This window comes from Homo sapiens, chromosome 6 (assembly GCF_000001405.40).
Source record: "Homo sapiens chromosome 6, GRCh38.p14 Primary Assembly".
Taxonomy (NCBI): Eukaryota; Metazoa; Chordata; class Mammalia; order Primates; family Hominidae; genus Homo; species Homo sapiens.
Window position 1 is genome coordinate 96989586 of NC_000006.12, and position 21092 is coordinate 97010677.

Here is a 21092-nt window from a genome sequence, read left to right on the forward strand (position 1 = left end):
GTCGTCTTGTATAGTATCTTGCAGAAATTCTCTACATCTCCTGAATTTGAATGTTCACCTCTCTAATGAAACTTGGGAAATTTTTCTGGATAATATCCTCAAATATGTTTTCCAAGTTGCTTTTTCTCCCCCCCTCTCTTCCAGGGATACCAATTTGTCTTACCTGTGGTCTCTTTACATAATCCAATATTTCTTGGAGGATTTACTCATTTTTTAAACTTTTGGCTGACTGAATTAGTTCAGAAACCAGCCTTCAAGCTCTGAGATTCTCTCCTCAGCTTGGTCTATTCTGCTGTTAAAAAAAAGTGCGATTATTATTATGAAATTCTTGTACTGTTTGTCAGCTCTATCAGATCAGTTTGTTTCTTTCTTATAATGGCCATTTCATCTTTCAGCTCTTATATAATTTTATTGTAATCCTTGGATTCCTTGGATTGGGTTTCAACTTTCTCCTGAATTGTGATGATCTTCATTCTCATCCATATTCTGAATTCTCTGTCTGTCATTTCAGCCATTTCAGCCTGGTTAAGAACACTTGCTGGGGAACTAGTGCAGTTGTTTGGAGAAAAAGACACTCTGGCTTTTTGACTTGCCAGAGTTTTTGTACTAGTTCTTTCTTATCTCTGTGTGCTGATGTTCCTTTCACAGTTACAATTTGAGTACATTCAGTTGCCTCTTTTCTGGATGTTTTCAAAGGGCTGAGGCTTTGTGCAGGATCTTTATTTGCAGCTGATTTCTTGTCCTTGTTTTTATGGGGGTGGGGGTTATGTTAGCAAGTATTTTTGGTGTTGAAGTTTGGGCTGTGATCCAGTAAATGGTGCTTAAGTATAATGGTAAGTTCTTGCTCAACCACGTGGCTCCTCTGTATTTCCTCTCGATTTCAGCTGTGCTCCCTCTTAGTGCTCTGAAAGTGTAGTTTCTTCTCCCAGTCAATTTCTGGCTGCAGATCTTGGATTGGCACTCCCAGGGTGCACACTGCAGCTCTGGGGTGAGCTCAGGCTTTGTGTGTCCTCTCCAACTTGGAGGCAGCAGAGGGAGGGACCTTGGCAGTGGCTGTAGCAGAGAGCCATTCACTTGTCTCTTGGGGCTCCAGCCCAGAGAAATACGGAGCTGCTACCAGTTGGTGTGATTGGCCCAGAGTTGGGCAGCTGTGTTATGGGCCCAAGCTGGGGTGGGGGCGGGGCTTGCTTGGTGATGAGCAGGGAGCATTGGAGGCTCATAGGTGAGCTAGACTGGCCTCTTCTCTTTAAGATGGCTGTGGTTTCTGGAGGTGTAGGTAAAGCACTTAAGGTCTTTGTTCCTTCCTTAGTCCAAGGGCAGCAAGGGAAGTACCACTGCAGTGGCAGTGGCAGAGGGGCTTTCGGTTTTGTCTAGGAGCTCCACCACAGAGAATCACAGACCCGTTACTAATGGGAATGTTTAATCGGGGCTTGTGGTGACTGCACTACTGGCCCTGCTTGGTGAAGCGCAGGGGGTCAAGGCCTCATGGGGAGGAGAGACTGGGCTCCTCTCCTTATGGCGGTTTTGGTGCTGGGAGTGCAGGTGAAGCCCTCAGGTTCTTTGTTCCTTCCCCAATGCAAGGGCAGCAAGGGCAGGACCAGTGCACTGGCGGTGGCAGAGGGTCTGTTGGTTGCCTCTGGGAGCCCCTCCCAGGGAAACTTAGAGCCACTAGCAGTGGAAATGCTCAGCTGGGGGTGGGGTGTCTGCTCTGCAATTCCAGCTGAAGGGTCCTTCCTGGGGAAGAATACAGGGTGGGAGCTCACAGAGAAGAGACATTGGGTTTCTCTCCGTATGGTGGCTGGGTGTGCTAGGGATGTCAGCATAGCAACCAGGCCCTTTGTTCCTTCCCCAATGCAGTAAGGGTGGTACCCATCGCAGCTGTAATGGCAGAGGGGCTATGGGTTGTCTCTGGGGATTTCCTCCCCAAAGAAACACAGAGCTGCCACCAACTGACATGTTCAGGCCAGGGCAGGGCGGTTGTGCTAGGCGCCCAGGTGGAGAGATCCTGCCCATTGAGGGGTAGCAGGGTGGGGACCTGTGTGGAAAACTGGCCGCTTTTCTGTAAGGCAGCTCTGCCTTAGTGCCTGATCACTGCGTTCCTTCCCAAGCCGGAGAGCCACAGGAGCGAGGGCTTCAGAGCAGCAAAAGTAGTAGCTTGCCTGTTACCTCCGGGAGATCCCTTCCAAGAAAGTGCAGAGCTGCTACCGCGGAGAGCCCTAGCAGGGAGTGGCCAAGGTCGCAGATCTAGAGGCCCTGCCCAGTGAGGAGTAGCAGGGGCGGGGGACGGCATTGAAAACAGGCCGCTTTTCCGGGTAAGGTGGCTGCGCTGTGCTGGGGGTCTATGATAGTCCCTAATCACTGTGCTCCCTCCCCAGCCTGAGGGCAGCAAGAGCGAGGGCTTCCGAGCGGCAGAAATGGCGGCCTGCCTGCGACCCGAGAGCTCAGGCAGGGCTGCGATGGCCGCAGTAGAGTCCCAGGCCAGTGGGCCATGTCTGGCGAGGTGCAGTGGAGGTGAGGCGTGCACTCCATCTGCTGCTCAGCCCTGTGGATTTGCCCCCATCCTGGTGGGCCTGTGCGGGAGCCTGACCTCTCTTGTTGCCAGAGATGCAGCTGCCGGTGTCCGGTACCAGGGGATCCATGGCTCCCGGGACCCAGGGTTGCAAAGGTCCATGGCAGAAGTGTGGGTCCCCAGGGACTCTCACTGACTCACTCACCGTTTCCTGGCTGTGGGGGGCCTCCCCTGGCTCTTCGCCTCTCCCCGGTGGGCAGTTGTCCTGTCTCACTCTTCTCACTTCTGTGTGGATTGTATTGCTTCCTTGATGAAAGTGTCCACTTGGATAATCCAGTTGAAGAGCTAATGTTTACTCACTACTCTCTTCTCTCTCTGAGAGCAATGCGCACTAGCTGCTTCTAGTCAGCCATCTTGGCTGGAATCCCGGTTTTGAATTTCATTTTGGGAAATGATTTGATTTCGCACATTTGTGTATGTGTGAGAGAGAGAGGGGAGAGCGTATCAATACGTGCGCGCATGTGAGTGCAAGAGACCATTTCACTTGTTGGCATTTAACGGTGTTTGCTGCTACTCCCAGTTTCTCAACTCTTCCACCACAATGCCCCTCATACTCTAATAGGTTATGCACAAAGAGTGCCTCCTTTGTAATACCTATATTATAAAGCCTCTGGAGAAACTTCATTATTTGCATTTTGCAGGTGTGGGAACTAAATTACGATATGTTTAAATAATTTGCCCAGGGACTGCCAGATATAAAGTAGAAGAGCTGATTTTCACACATCTGTCTCCCTCAGTACCAAGTTGTGCCGTTTCCACTTAAGCTGTGTGCTCTGCTGGATTCATGTGCATTTCCTTCAGTCTCATAAGCTGCTTGTAAGATGAAAATTCACTGACTTGTGCACTGATTGTTCAGATGGAGAAAGCCGAATAAAGTTGGAGCAGTTGGCACTTAACTGTTATCTGGGCAGTGCTAAGTGCTGGAGTTTTGGTATTTAAGAGACATAGGCTGAGCCCTATGGAGCTTGTAATATAGATACCATACTGGAAGTAATTTTTTCCTTATACTCAGTATTTTCTGTTAGCTTTTGCTGCATAACAAAGTACCCGAAAACCTAGAGGCTGAATTGTTCTGGTCTGTCAGCTCAGCTGATCTCTACTGGATTTGCTTTTGCATCAGTGGTTAATCAAAGGGTTGATTGGAGGCTAGTGATCTAAGTTGGCCTTGTTGACATGGCTGGTGATTGGTAGGCTGTTGGTTGGGGTGGTAAGGGAAGCTGGGCCATGTATTTAGAAACTAGCCTAGGCATTTTCACGTGGCAACTAAATCCTAAGAACACAAGAGGACCAGCCTCAAGGCACAAGTGCTTCTCAAGCTTCTGTTTGGGTCTTGTTTGCTAATGTCCCCCCTGCTGGCCGAGCAAGTCAGATGGCCAAGTCCAGAATCATCAGAATCATTTTAAGAGGGTGTACAAAAGGGCATAGACACAAGTAGGGGAACATTTTGTTGCCATTGTTGCACCCTTCTCCTGTCAGGAACTATCAAAATTCTGAGATTTTTACCCTACTTGCAAGCTAACTAGTCAGGCTACCACACTGTTATAGATGCTGGTAGAAGACATAAGACTCCTAATCAGAAACAAAGGAGTTTATCCTCATAATGGCAGTAGTAATCAAGTCTCAGCATTTTTGCACCTCTTTTCTGAGCCCCAATTCCCACAGGATGACATGAAGAGGGCCAGCTTGTGAGTGAGTTGTGTTATGGGAGAATATCATTGAGGTTAGGGAACCGGAGTCTTTTATAATGAGTAGCAAACATGTCTACCCTTTGCTCTGGAGAGAGACATTATTATTCTGGACAGTAAGCATGCTACCCTTTGCTCTACATAGAGATACTGTATCTTCCAGGATTGTAAACAAACCTACCCCTTGCTCTGGAGGGAGATACTACTCTGTCTTCCAAGGCTGTTTGCTATAGAAACATCCTTGAAAAGAAAGTTCAGAACAAAAAACAGTTGTCTCATTCACAATATATGCCAAAATGCAAGAAACTCATGGAGAATTGTCTCCCAACAGTCACATGCCCTAAACTAGAATATTTGTTTTCCTTGTGTCTTATACTCTATCAAACTGAAACATCTGGAAAGAGTATCCTGTCTTAGTAATTTGTGCCTCTCACAATACTCATAATGTTGCCTCATGTTTCATAAAGGCTCAATAAATATTTATTAAGGGAATGAAGAAATGTTTTCTAATATTTTATAGTTCCATTTATATTTCAATTCTTAATATCCGGAAAATAAAACTATACAAATTATTTATGTTTTTTTTCCTTTTAGTGTGATATGTTCAAGTTAATTAAGTACTTTGGTATAAAGTAGATTTTTGTGCTCTGTACTCTGATATTTGGCAGTTTATTTTGAAGCTCAAGTAATTGTTGTTCTGATTCAGGGAAGGTGGGACTGCAAGAGTAAGAAGGCCGAAGCTTTGATGGATCTTTTCCTTTATATTGGTCTGTGAGTTAATATCAGCTTTTCTTGTTTAAAATATGATTAATGAATGATTAGTTGCGTGCAAAGTACTATGAGTTCCTGTGATCATCACCATTTTAAAAGAAAGTGAAAAAACACATTTTTCAGCCAGATAATAATGCTTTAAAAAATAACAAAAATGTTAGGCTTAATTTAAGCAGTGTGAGCACAGCATAGCATTAGCCAGATGCTGTAACAGTCAGACCAGGACTTCTTTCATCAAAGTGCAAAGTAGTTGTGGAAAGAAGAAAGGGATGAGCTTATGAGTCAGATTTGAGTTTGAATCTAGCAGCAGGGACCTAATCTGTCTGTTCTGTTCACCATTGTTTCCCACACTACCTGGCAAATAGTAGGCACTATTTTAATAAATGTTTGTGGGGTTACTCATCTTCTTCACTATCCATTCTATGAACATAGCCAAATCCCGTTACTTCTGTGAACCTATGTTTTTTCATCTATACATTGATAATCACCAAGCATAGTTCTCTGGATGGGTTGATACAGAGACTTAAGTGAGATATGGTATATAAAGCTCCAAGCATAGTACCTGACACTCAATAAATGTGAGCTGTTTCACTTCTTGGACTAACTTGAAATTCCTGGTCATGTTCTGCCTAGGTGTTACGGTGAAGGAAGTTCAGTTAATTGTTAGGCTCAGCTACTGCAGGTTCACTCACTTTTTGATGGGTCAGAATAACTTTTTAATTTCATCCTTTCCCAACTTTTCATTTCCTGACTCTGTCACCACCTTCCCTCTTGCTTAGAGCATTCCAGTAGCCATTTAACTTTTCTCCTCCTCTGGCTGTTCTTTTTCAAACCATTGTGCAGATGACTCCATGACTAACTTTCCCTTCCTGCTAAGGTATTCCTGAGCCCCTCACTTCCTGCCTACCAGGCTCCAGGAGTGGCTTCACACTGTCTCATCATCATTCACCCTCCCCTTTGTTCCCTTGTCTGTTTATCCAGTGTTGTAGCCACACTATTCTCCAAACACATTCTTTCCACCTCAGGGCCTTTGCACTTCTCAGCTTTGCTAGTGACCATTCTTTCCACCTGTAACTTCCTGTTCAGCTCTTAGTCTACCCTGTCCATCTTCCAAGGTTTCTCACAACCAACAAATATGATGTCTCTCATGAAGCCCTATCCTGATCACCCTCTGCCACCGCGTTAAGTTCATATGTAAGGTTCCCCTTTTTTGAAATCTTAATACTTTCAGCTTGTCACCTTCCAGGAATTAAAGATTATGTACTATGTGTGGCAGCCCCCTTACCAGTAACATCTCAGAGAGATTGTGACCAACTAAACACTAGTGAAGTCCACCAAACTACTGTTGAACACTATTAAGTGAGGAAGTATTGAAACAGAGATAGCAAGAGAAATGAGGGGCCTCGAGTGGTGGGGACAAGTCAGCCTCTTCTCCCTGCTTCCTTGGAAGCCCCTCTGACAGTGGGTACACATAAGTTACAGGGCCCAGCGTGGGCAGCCCTGGGCTGCGGGCCACTCTGTAGGTTCTGGAAGCTGTTGTCTAACATTTGCTATCTCCAGCTTAAATCTCCATGAACGCCTACAGTTTCTGGCCAGGGAAACAGATGTCTTGACTGTCTAACATAACTTCGTATATGTGTTGGTAAAGTGATTCAAATATGACATTTTGGAAAATTAAATATTTGAGCATCTTTTTCCGTTAGAGGCTGGGCGTGCTCCTGCCTATGTAATTTTTAGAATTGAGAAAAGGGCATAAATCCCATGATTAAAACAACAACAACAACAACAATCTGTGTTTCATGTATTTTATAATCCTACTTTCTAGTTGCTATTTGATTAAAATTACATAAAAGACTATAAATGAGTATAATATGTAATTAGAAATAAATAGGTTTTTAAAAATTCAATAAATAAGTATTTGTTACATACCTACCATTTTCTAGACACTGAATGAATTCGTAGTCTGGCAGGAGTTAGAAACAAGTGACCAAATGACTGCAATATAATGTAATTGGTATACCAGTTTTGGCGTGGTATTTTGGGCTCTAACCTTATTTTTATCCCTTTTCCTCTCTTCAACATTCTCAAGCAATAACAATAATAACTAATTAATATTAAATAATAATTAATTGAGCACTTACTGTTCTCAGGCAACTATTCTAAATGTTTTATGTGTATCAAACTCATTTAATCCTCTAGAGAAACTTGTAAGATGGGTATTACTGTCATCTCTATTTTAAAAATAAAGAACAGGAAGCCCAAATTTTAATAATTCACATTAGGGGCATGAAAAGTGGTTAAGTAAGAGCTGATGATGGCCTGAAGTAAGCAAGGAGCAGATGGCTGGAGAGAAGAGGGTAAGTTTGAGGAATGGGTTGGGAGGTAGGTAAACAGGACATTGTGATGGATGGCGATGGGGAGGAAAGACAAGAGTGAGTGTGGTTGAGGGTCAGGGAGCATGGGAGCAAAGGGATGTTCATGCTGACCAAAGGCTTGAGGTCTGGAGAGTGTTGGGAAAAGAGCAGGCACAAGACATTTGGAAAGAAGCTGTACCATTGAGCAAGCAAATGAGGAAGGCTATGTGTATGAAGATGTCTGTCCTCCTTGAGGCTGGAGCCAGTGTCTTTTCCTTTCTGATGTTTGTACCCTAGAACCCACAGTGCCTGGCCCACATAGACCATCTTCATTCTCCCTGTTGCTATCTGATTGGAATAGTTTCTTGCTGTGTCATGTGGGTGGGCCCTCCCAAACCCCTCTCCAGAATTTATCCCCTAAAACACCCACATATGTATGCATTGGTTAAGACATTAGTTTGTCTTATTTCCTCAGAAAGTGTCCTATAAAGACTTGAAGGTGGCCAGGCATGGTGGCTCGTAAATGTAATCCCAGCCCTTTGGAAGGCCCAATGGGGAGAATTGCCTGAGCTCAGGAGTTTGAGACCAGCTTGGACAGCATAGTGAGACCCTGTCTCTATAAAAAAAAATTAGCTGGGTGTAGTGGCATGCACCTGCAGTCTCAGTTTCTTGAGAGGCTTAGCAGGAGGATCGCTTGAGCCCAGGTGGAGGCTGTAGTGAGCCATGATTACACCATTGCACAGGAGTGCACAAAATACATGAACAGTCATGCCAACAACAACAAAAAAAACCATACAAGAGATCCTCCTGCTTAAGCCTCTCAAGTAGCTGAGACTACAAAACATACAAACAACCATACAAACCATAAAAAACGTACAAACCAACCAACCAAAAACAGCTTGAAGGTAACAGTACTGCTGATTTTAAAATATGTAAATGGAATCAATGTTGGATTCATGTTGTTTCCTATTTGGTTGCTTTGTAGACTCTTCATTACCATTTCTGCTTCTCAGAAATCACATGTAGTGACACGTGGTGTTTATTACATAAAGGATAAATGGCAGCATAACATTGACAGTAATTTTTGCTTCCAGCCCCCAAGACTGTAGCCTTCTGCCTTATTCCTAGCCTGCTCCTCAACCTCCATTGAGTCTGTAAACCTCCAGTATACTTCCAGTAAATTATCCTTTTGCTTAAAAACTAAAATTAAAAATAAATATACTTTGTAAACTGTCAAATACTATATGAATATTAAAAGCCTTTTAGTAGTCAGTTTCAGTCTTTCATTCAGTCATCCACGCCACAGCTTTCTTCTGGGCACATACTAAGCAGTCCCTGGGCTCGATGCTGTAATTAGAATCTGCTCGTTTGATCTGCAGGAATATTGTCACATTCTGATTAAAACAGTTCTCAAAAATTAAATTTTAACTTGGAACAACATACACTAAATCTCTTTTTCAGAAAAAGAATTAATAAAAATAATAGTAAAATAACCCCAAGTCCTTTAATACATATAGTGATTATTTTTAGTTTAGCTTTTTTATGGTTACTGTAAGCATATAAATATTTACTACTGTCCTAAATAGCAAAGCATTACCCTGCAGTTGTCTAATTGGTGCATGAATGTCACTAAAATTAAATATCATGATGTTCAATATTTTCCTTAGTCAATTTTACACTATCCTGCCCTGTGATTAATTACTTTGCTTGAGGCCAAGCAAGTACTACTGAGTCCTGTGATAAGTGGATGTTTATGCCAAAAACAACAGCATTGCTAATTCTTGCATATTTGCACATGTTAAGTTCTTTTCTTTCTCTGCCACCTGTATTTCATGTGTTGATCACAGAGGCACCAGAGTATCATTCTTACAGTATTTGAATTATGCATTACATGGTAAACTGATCGTTATTTTCCATCAAATGAATACTTTGGCTTACACTTAATTTTATAAAATCTGTTTATAGAAATCATTAATAACTAGAACAACGTTAGTTAGAAATTGAAGAATATGGCTAAAGAATTTATTACCTTGGAAGATATTATGAAGATCCTAAGAAGAAAAAAAATTTAAGGAGGCATCTAATAGGCAGATTAACAAGGCTGTGGGGAAGTGATACAAATGTATATTGCTTTCAAAAAGTATATTTCCCTTGGGCATGGATACTCATGCCTGTAATCTCAACACTTTAGGAGGCTGAGGCAGAAGGATCATTTGAGCCCAGGAGTTCAAGACCAGCCTATGCGACATAGGGACACCCCATCTCTACAAAAAATTAGAAAATTAGCTGGGCATGGTCACACGTGCCTGTAGTCCTCGCTCCTTGGGAGGCTAAGGTGGGAGGGTCATTTGAGCCTGGGAAGTCGAGGCTGCAGTGAGGCATGATTGTGCCACAGCACTCCAGCCTGATTGACAGAGTAAGACTCTGTCTCAACAACAACAACAACAAAGAGTTAATTTCCGTTTTTGTTTGAATTTTGATATCAAAAACATCAATAAAATAATTTATTTCCAGATTGTACTCATCTGTTTTCACCATATTTGATGGAATTTTGAAGTGAACAATTCCTGACAGTATAAAAAGGTAAAAATCCAGGTATTAGGACCATTTTTTCCCTGCTATTTTCTTTTTCTGATGACAACTTTATTTTTCTCTGTGAAGCTATAATTTGCCTCTGATATTTTTATTTTAAATGTTTTTCAAACTTTGAATTTTAATTTTTTAGATTCTAGTTAGTATTAATATTTTATCTTATTTGATATTTTTATTACAGTAGCTATTGGTACTTCCTGAATAAATGTGCTTCTTTATTATGGTTCTTAATGTGGTAAGAACAGATAAACCACATGCACGTAATTCACCATTATCTCAATTTCATAGACATTTACCGAGCGTCTACTACATGCAAAAAAGTTTGTGCCGGATGTTGCAAGGGCTCCTAAAACATCACCACTACAGCTTCTGCATAGAGATGATTGTTGACACTTCAGGAATAGAGACTACATGGGGAGGGAAAGAGAGCAGGAAAAGAATGTCTGTGATCAGAACCTAAAGGATGCTTTTACTTGGGTGGTAGAAAAAGAATGCAAAGATGGCCAATGGGACAAAGAAGGAAAAGTCAAAGATAAAAACATAAGCAAAGTGTACATTTTAATCAAAGCCAGAAAAGGAAAGGGTTTCAGGAGGTTGACATATTCTGCAGAAGACTGAGGAGGACTCAGGAAAATTCAACAAAGTGGTACTATTAGAGAGTTGGGAAAGGAAGGCTAACTCTAAGGGTGTTATATAAAACTATTAATTGATGCTACTCAAAGTGTGGTCCATGGATAAGTGCCAGTCTGCAAAGTGCCTGTTAACTATGCATGCTGATGAGCTACAGGATGTAAATGAACTACATTGTTACACACTGTGTCAGTTCAATGGGCATTTTTTGACAGGAAGTCTTTCTTGAGGAAGCATGTAGTAAGTTCATTTGTGTGCTGGTAACCGGATTTCTGATCTTGTCCCAGATGTTTAAGGAGCAGTTCACAGACAGACTACTTTGAGGAGCACTGATAGAAATACAATACAATGTAGACAAACATGATTTCATTTTTAGATAAAATTTATGATTTCCTTGTGAGGTAATAAATATGATTATAATTTCTATTGAAAATACTTGTGCCATTTTCTAGACATCAAATAAAACTTGCAAGAATGGGTATCTTTCTAATAATTCCTGTCACTATTACTTTGGGGTACATTTTAATTTTTATTCTAATTACTCAAAAACATTCTCTAAAAAATACTGCACATAATTTCCAAAATGTGAAGCAACGAAGATGTTACTCAGTAGGTGAATAGGTAAACTATGCTATATTCATAAAATGGAATATTAGTCTGTAATAAAAAGAAATGAGCTATCAAGCCATGAAAATGCATGGGTGAAACTTGAATTTATATTACAAAGTGAATGAAGCCAGTCTAAAAAGACTATCTATTCTATGAATCCAACTATATGACATTCTGGAAAAGGCAAAACTATGGAGACAATAAAAGGTCAGTGTTTGGCAGAGACTTGAGAGAAGGAGGGATAATAGATGGAGCACAGGGGATTTTTAAAGCAGTGAAACTATTCTATATGATACTGTAATGGTAGATACAAATAATCATACATTTATAAAAACCCATAGAATATACAACACCAGGAGTGAACCCTAACGTAAACTTTGGATTTGGTGAATAATGATGTGTAAATGTTGGTTCAGCAATTTTACCATACTGGTGGGGCATGTTGATGGAGTAGGCTGTGCTTGTGGAGGGGGAAGGAGCTATGTGGAACTCTCTATACTTTCTACTCAGTTTTACTGGTGAACCTAAAACTGGTCTAAAACATACATTTTATTAATTAAATTTTTAAATTAAAAAAATTTTGTAGGTACCTCACAACTGTCTCATAATTGTTTTATTGTTTTCGAGAAAGGTGGCCTTCCAATGAAGGTTTTGTGTTTTGTTTTGGTTTGTTTTTTTGTTTGTTTGTTTGTTTGAGACAGGGTCTTTATCACTCAGACTGAAGTGCAGTGGCACAATCATGGCTCACCAAAGCCTCAATCTCCCAGACCTGAGTGATCCTCACACCTCAGCCTCACGAGTAGTTGAGACCACAGGCATGTGCCACCACACTTGGCTAATTTTTCTTATATTTTTGTAGAGACAGGGTCTCCCTATATTGCCCAATACTGAACTATTAGGTTGTAAAAACAAAATGTATTCCTTTGAAGAACAGATAATAGTCATGGTCTATTAGGTCTTAGTGTCAAAGTTGAGTGATTCTAAGATAATGAAAGCAGATATTTTTAGATGGAGAGTAGCACTCTGAAGATGATCTGCCTGGCTCTTTTGTTAAAGGTTGTTGCCGTTCATCTAGACGTATGTATATGCCTAAGAAGAGCGTTATACTGATGCTGTTACAAAAGAGAGAAATCAGACACTGATTGAGTGTGAGTTCTCCAAAGAAACATAACTAAGAGGAATAGATAGATAGATAGATAACTCTACTGTAAAGAACTGGCTTACATGATTATGGAACCTGAGAAGTCCTTGGATCTACAGTTGGTAAGCTGGAAACCCAGGAGAGCTGGTTGTATGCTTCTAGTCCAAGTCTGAAGGCCTGAACTAGGAGAGGTGTTGGTGTAAGTTCCAGTCTGAGTATAAGTCCAAAGGTAGGATAAGAACAATGTTCCTGCTCAAAGACAGCCCGGCAGAGAGAAGGAATTCTTTTTTCACTTAGCCTTTTATTCTCTCCAGGTCTTCAACCAGTTGGATGAAGCCCACTCACATTAGAGAAAGCAATTTGCTTTACTCATTCTACCAATTCCTTGACTTGCTTCTGGGAATCCCTAGTTGACTAATAATTTTACTTTAAAATATTTCAAGAAAAAAGCATAATTTAAAAATATAACGAATATAGCTTAAGAGCAAAAACAAATATTTTTCAAACTCTATGAAGAACCCATATTTTTGTTTATTTATTATTTTTTGCACTTTTAGGGTCAGGGTACATGTGCAGGTTTGTTATATAGGTAAATTGTGCGTCATAGGAGTTTGGTGTACAGATTATTTCATTACTCAGGTCCTAAGCGTAGTACGCTATAGGTGTATTTTTATCCTCACCCTCCTCCAACCCTCCACTCTCAAGTAGGCCCCACTGTCTATTGTTCCCTTCTTTGTGTCCATGTGTACTCAGTGTTTAGCTCCCACTTATAAGTGAGATCACGCAGTATTTGGTTTTCTGTTCCTGCGTTAGTTCACTTACAGTAGTGACCTCCAGCTCCATCCATGTTTCTGCAAAGGACATGATTTCTTTCATTTTTATGGTTACACAAAAAAGAATAGTACATATGTAGTACATATTCCATGGTGAATATGTACTACATTTCCTTTATTTAGTCTACTGTTAATGGGCATTTAGGTTGATTTCATGTCTTTGCTATCGTAAATAATGCTGCACTGAACATGCATGTGTCTTTATGGTAGAAAATATATATATTCCTATATTCCTTTGGGTATGTACCCAATAATGTGATTGCGGGTCAAATGGTAGTTCTAAGTTCTTTGAGAAATCGCCAAAGTTCTGTCCACAATGGCTAAACTAATTTACATTCCTACCAGCAGTGTATAAGTATTCCCTTTTCTCTGTAACCTTGCCAGCATCTGTTATTTTCTGACTTTTTAATAATAGCCATTCTGACTGGTATAAGATGGTACCTCATCATGGTTTTGATTTCCATTTCTCAAATGATTAATGATGATGAACATTTTTTCATATGCTTGTTAGCAGTATGTATGTCTTCTTTTAGAAAGTGTCTGTTCATGTCCTTTTCCCACTTTTTAATGGGGTTATTTGTTTTTTGCTTGTTAATTTAAGTTCCCTATAGATTCTGGATAGTAGACCTTTGTTGGATATATAGTTTATAAAAATTTTCTCCCATTCTCTATAGTGCCTGTTTACTCTGTTGATAGTTTCTTTTGCTATGCAGAAGCTATTTAGTTTAATTAGTCATTTATAAATTTTTGGTTTTGTTGCAATTGCTTTCGGCATCTTTGTCATGAAATGTCTGCCAGGGCCTATGTCTGAAATGGTATTTCCTAGATTATCTTCCAGGATTTTTAGAGTTTTAGGTTTTGCATTTAGCTTTAATCCATCTTGAGTTGATTTTTTGTATATACTGTAAGGAAGGGGTCTAGTTTCAAAGTTCTGCATATGGCTAGCTAGTTATACCAGCACCATTGATTGAATAGGGAGTCTTTTTCCCATTGCTTGTTTTTGTTGACTTTAACAAAGATCAGATGGTTGTAGGTATGTGGCTTTATTTCTGGTTCTCTATTCTGTTCCGTTGGTCTATGTCTCTGCTTTTGTACCAATATCATGCTGTTTTGGTTACTGTAGTCTGGTAGTATAGTTTGAAGTTAGTTAATGTGAGGCTTCCTGCTTTGTTCTTTTTTCTTTAAGTATTCAAGCTCTCTTTTGGTTCTGTATGAATTTTAAAATAGTTATTTCTAATTCTGTGAAGAATGCTATTGGTTGTTTTATAGGAATAGCACTGAATTTATATGTTGCTTTGGGAAGTATGGCCATTTAACAATATTGATTCTTCCTATTCATGAGTATGGAATGTTTTTCCATTTGTTTGTATTATCTCTGATTTCTTTGAGCAGTGTTTTGTAAATCTTGTAGAGATCTTTCACCTCCCTGGTTGGTTATATTCCAGGTATTTTATTCTTTTTATGGCCATCGTGAATGTGACTGAGTTCTTGATTTGGCTTTCAGCTTGGACGTTGTTGGTGTATAGAAATGCTACTGATTTTTGTACACTGATTTTGTATTCTGAAGCTTTGCTGAGGTTGTTTATCAGATGTCAGAACTTTTGGGCAGAGGCTATGTGAGGTTTTCTAAGTATATAGTCACATCATCAGCAAACAGGGATAGTTTGATTCCTGTCTTCCTATTTGGATGCCTTTCATTTCTTTCTATTTCCTGATTGTTCTGGCTAGGACTTCCAGTGCTGTGTTGAATAGGAGTGGTGAGAGTGGGCATTCTTGTCTTGTTCCCGTTCTCAAGGGGAATGCTTCCAGCGTTTGCCTATTTAGTATGTTTGCTGAGGGTTTGTTGTAGATGGCTGTTATTATTTTGGGATATGTTCCTTCAGTGCCTAGTTTATTGAGTTTTTTTTAACATGAAGGGATATTTAATTTTATCAAAAGCCTTTTCTGCATCTATTAGGAGAATCATAAGGTTTTGGTTTTAGTTTTGTTTATGTGATGAGTCACAATAATTGATTTGCATATGGTGAACCAACCTTGCTTCCCAAGGAAAAAGCCTATTTGATCGTAGTGCATTAGCTTTTTGATGTGCTGCTGGGTCTGGTTTATTAGTATTTTGTTGTGGATTTTTGCATCTATGTTCATCAAGGCTATTGGCCTGAAGTTTTCTTTCTTTTTTTTTTGTTATGGGTCTGCTAGGTTTTGGTATCAGGATGATGCTGCTCTCATAGAATGATTTAGGGAAGAGTACATCCTCCCCAATGTTTTTGAATAGTTTTAGTGGGAATGGTATCAGCACTTTTTTGTACACCTGGTAGAATTTGACTGTGAATCTGTCTGGTCCTGGGCTTTTTCTGGTTGGTAGGCTTTTTATTACTGATTTAATTTTGGAACTCATTTTGTCTGTTCAGGATTTCAATTTCTTCCTGGTTCAGTCTTGGAAGATTGTATGTTTCTAGGAATTTATTCATTTCCTCTAGGTTTTCTAGTTTTTGTGCCTAGAGGTGTTCATAATAGTCTCTGAGGGTATTTTGCATATCTGTGGGGTCAGTGGTAATGTCTCCTTTGTCATTTCTGTTTGTGTTTTTTTAGATCTTCTCTCTTTTTTTCTTTATTAATCTAGGTAGTGGTCTATCTCTCTTATTTATTCTTTCAAAAAGCAAACTTCTGAATTTGTTGAACTTTTGTATGGTTTTTCACATCTCAATTTCATTCGATTCAGCTCTGATTTTGGTTATTTCTTGTCTTCTGCTAGCTTTGGGAGTTGGTTGCTGTTCTTTTCCTATTTCTTCTAGGTGTGATATTAGGTTGTTAATTTGAGATATTTCTAACTTTTTGATGTGGGCATTTATTACTATAAACATTCTTCTTCAGTCTGCTTTAGCTGTGTCCCAGAGATTCTGGCATGTGGTGAATTGATTCTCATTAGTTTCAAATAATTTCTTGATTTATGCCTTAATTTCACTGTTTACCCAAGTCATTCTGTAACAGATTGTTTAATTTCCATATAATTGTGTGGTTTTGAGAGATTTTCTTAGTATTAATGTCTTTTCTATCAGACTGTGCTCTGAGAATGTGGTTGGTATATTTTCAGTTTTTTATTTTTTTTAATTTTCTGAGGATTGTTTTCTGGCTAAATGTGTGCTTGATTTTAGAGTATGTGGTATGTGCAGAAGAGAAGAATGTATAGTATGTACAGAAGAGAAGAATGTATATGCTCTTGTTTTGGGGCATCAAGTTCAGTAGATGTCTGTTAGTTCCATTTGGTCAAGTGCTGAGTATAGGTCCTGAATATCTTTGTTAGTTTTTTCCCTCAATGATCTAATACTATCAGTGGAGTGTTTAAGCCTCTCATTATTATTGTTCAGTTATCTAGGTCTCTTCATAGGTCTGTAAGAACTTGCTTTATGAAGCTGGGTGCCCTTCTATTAGGTGCATACATATTTAGGATAGTTAGGTCTTTTCATTGAGTGAGTCCTTCACCATTAGGTAATGCTCTTCTTTGTCTTTTTAAATTGTTGTTGTTGATTTATAGTCTTTTTTGCCTGATACTAGAATAGAAAGCTCTGCTCTTTTCTGTTTTCTGTTTGCTTGGCAGATTTTTCTCCATTTCTTTACTTTGAGCCTATCGGGGTTATTGCATGTGAGATGGGCCTCTTGAAGCGAGCATACAGTTGGGTCTTGCTTCTTTATCCAAGTTGACATTCTGTGCCTTTTATTTGGGCATTTATACTGTTTACATTTAAGGTTAATATTGATATGTGTGGGTTTGATCCTGTCATCGTGTTGTTAGCTGGTTACTATGCAGACTTGATTGTGTAGTTGCTCTATATACTTAAATGTGTTTTTGTGGTGACCAGTAATGGTCTTTGTTTCCATGGTTAGCACTCTTTTAAGGACTTCTTGTAAGGCAGATCTTGTGGTAATGAATTCCTGTACCATTTGCTTGTCTGAAAAGGATCTTATTTCTCCTTTGCTTATGAAACTTAGTTTGGTTAGGTATGACATTCTTTGTTGGATTTTTTTTCTTTAAGAATGCTGAATATAGGCCCCCAAACTCTTCTGCTTATAGGGTTTCTGGTGAAAGGTCCACTGTTAGCTTGATGGTGATCTCTTTTTAGGTGACCAACCCCTTCTCTCTAGATGCTTTTAAGAGTTTTTCTTTCATATCTACCTTATGGAATCTGAGGACTATGTGTCTTGGGGATGGTCATCTCATATAGTGTCTCACAGGGGTTCTCCACATTTCCCAAATTTTAGTGTTGGCCTCTTTAGCAAGGTTGGGGAAATTTTCATGAAAGATATCTTTAAATATGTTTTCTAAGTTGCTTGTTTTTTTCTCTCTCTCTTTTAGGGATGCTAATGAATTGTAGATTTGGTCTCTTTACATTATCCCATATTTCTTGGAGGTTTTGCTCATTCTTTTTTACTCATTTTTATTTATTTTTGTCTGACTGAAATATTTTGGAGAGGTAGTCTTCGAGTTCTGAGACTCTTTCTTTGGCTTCATCATTTCTGCCGTTAGTACTTAGGATTGTATTATGTAATCCTTAAAGTGAGCTTTTCAGCTTTACCAGATCATTTCTTAAAGTGGCCATTTCATCTTTTCGCTCCTGTTTCATTTTATTGTACTTCTTATATCTCTTGGATTGGGTTTTGATTTTCTCTTGAATATGGATGATCTTTGTTCCTATCCATATTTTGAATTCTATGTGTCATTTGAGCCATTTCAGCCTGGTTAAGAACCATTGCTGACAAACTAGCGTGGCTGGTTGAAGGTAGGAAGACCCTCTGGTTTTCTGAGTTGCCACAGTTCTTGCACTGGTTCTTTCTCATGTGTATGGGCTGATGTTTCTTCAGTCTTCAGGTTGCTGTCCTTTGGATGAGGTTTTTTGCTTTTTCATCTTTGATACCCTTGGGAGTTTGATTGTGCTATAAGGTAGGTACAGTCAACTGGCCTCATTTGTGGAAGATTTTATGAGGCCAAGGCTCAGCTCAGCACTCCTGGACTATGTGCTCTAACTCTGGGGGGCTGGCAGTGGGGCCCTAGCTTTGTTCTCTGGCCCCTAAAGGTTAGGAACCTGCTGCACTGGAGGGGCCAAAGTGTTCCCAGTCTGCTGTCCACAACACCCCGATGAGGGCTGCCCACTAAATTACTTCATCAAGGTGTTGGCAGTGGAATTTGTGCTCGCTTGCACATGCCAGCGATTGCAGCAATGCTCAGTGTGTATGTGAATTGCCTGGGATGTGGGACCAGTGGAAGCAGGGCAGTGGCATTCCTGCTGCACCTCCTCATGCAGGTGGTTGTGGTGGTGGTGACATGACAGGGTCAGGGCACTGTGGTAACAGGTTGTCTGGCATTTGTGCCAGTGGTGGTGGCATGGGGTTGGGTGTCAGGGTGTGCTAGCACCAGCAGAGGGAGGTTGTGGTGGGGGAAGACCGTGGCAGCCCTGTGTGTTTCAGCCGGTTCCAGTGCACTGGAACTCTCTGACAGTCAGGTGCAGTCTGCCAGCAAAGGAGCTATGGTAAAGTTTTCCAGGAAGCACCCTGTTTGGGCATCTGAGGCTGCACTGCAAGTGGGTGCAACCAGTCTGGAGCCCTAGGAGAGGCCAGAAGACAGGGTAGTGCTCAGATCAGACTAGCCCCATCTCACAAGGAAGACCACCCTGCTGTGTCCAGGTATGACAGTCACCCCTAGGCTAATGTCTCCTAGAGGAGCGTAGGTGTCCCTGGCTGTGCTCCATTGCAGCCACTCCCATGCCAAACTCTCTGAGCTGTGCACTGGCTGGAGTCCTGCTCCTGCCACCTCTCCTGGCAGCTCTCCCTGCCAGGGTAAGTGTTTGTGGAGGTCATGGGGTCTCCTGCTGATAGGATTCTGGAGATCCAAGGTGAGAGCAGGCCATACCTTGGCTGTTCATCTCACTCCTTCCCCAGGAGACGCTGGAGCCCAGGAATGAGTCCCTTTGCTCAGCAGCCCTGTGCAGGGTTCCTAGCATCCTTTCCCTCCAGCCTGGCCTCTATGTCTTCCTTCCATCCACTCATTGCCTTCTCTCCAAAGATCTGCTCAGAGAGTATTTCATTCTTCCCTATGTCCCTGTCTCTTGATGGGAGATGTTCCTCCTGGCTGTGCTTAGCCGGCCGTCTTGGCTCCCCAGCCGCATTTTTATAGGATAATTAATTAGAAGGGCAGTATAGTTTTAGACTGAGACCAGTCTAATTTATAACATCTCTGTTCACATACTTTCTGGCTGTGTATATCCTTGGGCAAGTGGCTTTATATCATTAAGTTTTATATTCTTCTCCAATTGTAAAAGCAGGTGAGTTGTCACTTAATGGGGCTAATGTAGAAATTAAATAAGATAAATGTCAGTTGCAAACCAAGGGTCTGAAACATACTAGATGTTAAACTGATGGTTTACTAGTATTGGTGATGGTATCTAGTTTTCAAGCACAATAGAGTGGAATTTTGGTTTATAAACCAAAATTCTGTTAAGAAACAGTATTTTTAAGGCTATTCAGCAGAGACAATTTTTACCAATTTCATCTATATTTTAAATTTAAATGTTTCTTTTATTTTGAAATAATTTTTCGCAAGGCTTTGCTTTTCAAATGTAAATGTTTAATCTTTTAAACACATTGGCTCTCTGGGCACCTAAAACTCTCTTCACTATCGACACTTTAGGATTTACTGGCCATGCTGTTGCTTCTGTTTTAATTTGCAATAGAGCACTTGTATAAATGTACTTTGAAATGTTTGGAAAGTTGTGTATGGACTGGAAAAATGCATGCGAGATGTTCCTTTGCTTTGTATATTGTGAAAGGGAGGATTTGTACATGCTTTGTTGTTGTTGTTACATACGCTAGTTTACTGTTTTGAACATAATTTGTTTACTACTTTGAATTCCCTATTTGATGGAAGTGAAATGTGATCTTGCTGGACAGTAGAAGGAAAGACTGCCTGTATTTCATGCTCATACCTACTAAAGCATCAGACTGTTTCATATTTAAGAGCAGTTTAAAAAGCACGTGAGGGTCTTCTTAATCTTAATTCTAGTGTCTTAAAAAATGTATGTGGAGATTATATGTTTTTGAGACACTATAATTAAGGTCAAGAAGGGAGGTAATTTGCATTCCCCTTGAAAAAGCTTTGATACCAGCTCTGGGGACTGAGGGGCATTGTCAGTGAGAGGGCCCCACACAGAGGCTTCTATGTCTCCAGCCTGCAGCCTGGAGAACTATGAAGACTTCTGTTTAGCCTCACACAGAGGAAGGCAGAATAAACAAACTGAAATGGCCCAAACAAGCTACTGGGTTTTTCCCTAGACTTAGGGTAAGGAAAAGGATCAGGCACTGATTTGACAAAAAAAAAAAAAAAAAAAAAAAAAGTGAGCATACAGAAAAATATTTATAGGACACTCTATGCCATGCTCCTGGTTCACTGCAGATTATCAATCAGTGGAAAGTGATAGAAGCAATGGATCAGCAGAATGGGTATAGAGGTAAGACAGCAGTTGCAGCAGCAGTGGTGCTTGGCTCTGGTAGGGCTGGTGGAGCAGGGTTGCTGTATTAGAAGAGTCAGGACTTGTTCATATGTCTGTCTCTCCCTCTCCCCCAGATCATAGCTGAATACCCAGCCCTGGACTTTGCAGATAATAAGTGTAGCAAATATTTTTTAAAACATTTATCAGCATCATTTAAATTATTACAAAAGTTTATAAATTGAATCCTATATAGTGCATTGTTCCCCTTAACTATTTCTGATTATATATCATCTTGTTATTTTAGATATTGAAGAATTTATCCCTCATGTTTCCTCAATTTTGTGTGTGTATGAGTGAGGAACCACAAAAGTGTTTTCCTAAAAAAATACTTGCTAATATTCTGCTGTGTGTTGTATTTTGGTCCTAATGT

At 40.3% G+C, this 21092-nt stretch overlaps 1 protein-coding gene across 25 annotated transcripts in view, besides 1 other annotated feature; it reads left to right on the forward strand.

Annotated features, from left to right (window-relative positions):
• Positions 1-21092, forward strand: part of KLHL32 (kelch like family member 32) — a 242671-nt gene that overhangs the window by 91503 nt on the left and 130076 nt on the right. For 6 of the 25 annotated variants that reach the window (NR_136579.2, NM_001286254.3, NM_001323263.2 and 3 more), the window contains exon 1: positions 20615-20680. The exons of 15 other annotated variants lie outside the window; for them this stretch is intronic. Coding sequence is in view for 2 of the 10 variants with exons in the window: in NM_001323263.2 (NP_001310192.1) it covers positions 20669-20680 (12 nt within the window). In the remaining 8 variants the exon portion in view is untranslated. Of the gene's footprint in view, positions 1-9875; positions 9963-20614; positions 20681-21092 lie in introns of those variants that run through there. 4 more of the 25 variants (XM_047418150.1, XM_047418149.1, XM_005266813.6 and 1 more) reach the window with 4 other exon arrangements.
• Positions 2196-2695: an enhancer, noted in NCBI's record as "H3K4me1 hESC enhancer chr6:97439657-97440156 (GRCh37/hg19 assembly coordinates)". NCBI's record gives its function as "activates a minimal SCP1, AML or CMV promoter by ChIP-STARR-seq in primed H9 embryonic stem cells {active_cell/tissue: H9 hESC(primed)}" and the evidence as "EXISTENCE:reporter gene assay evidence [ECO:0000049][PMID:30033119]".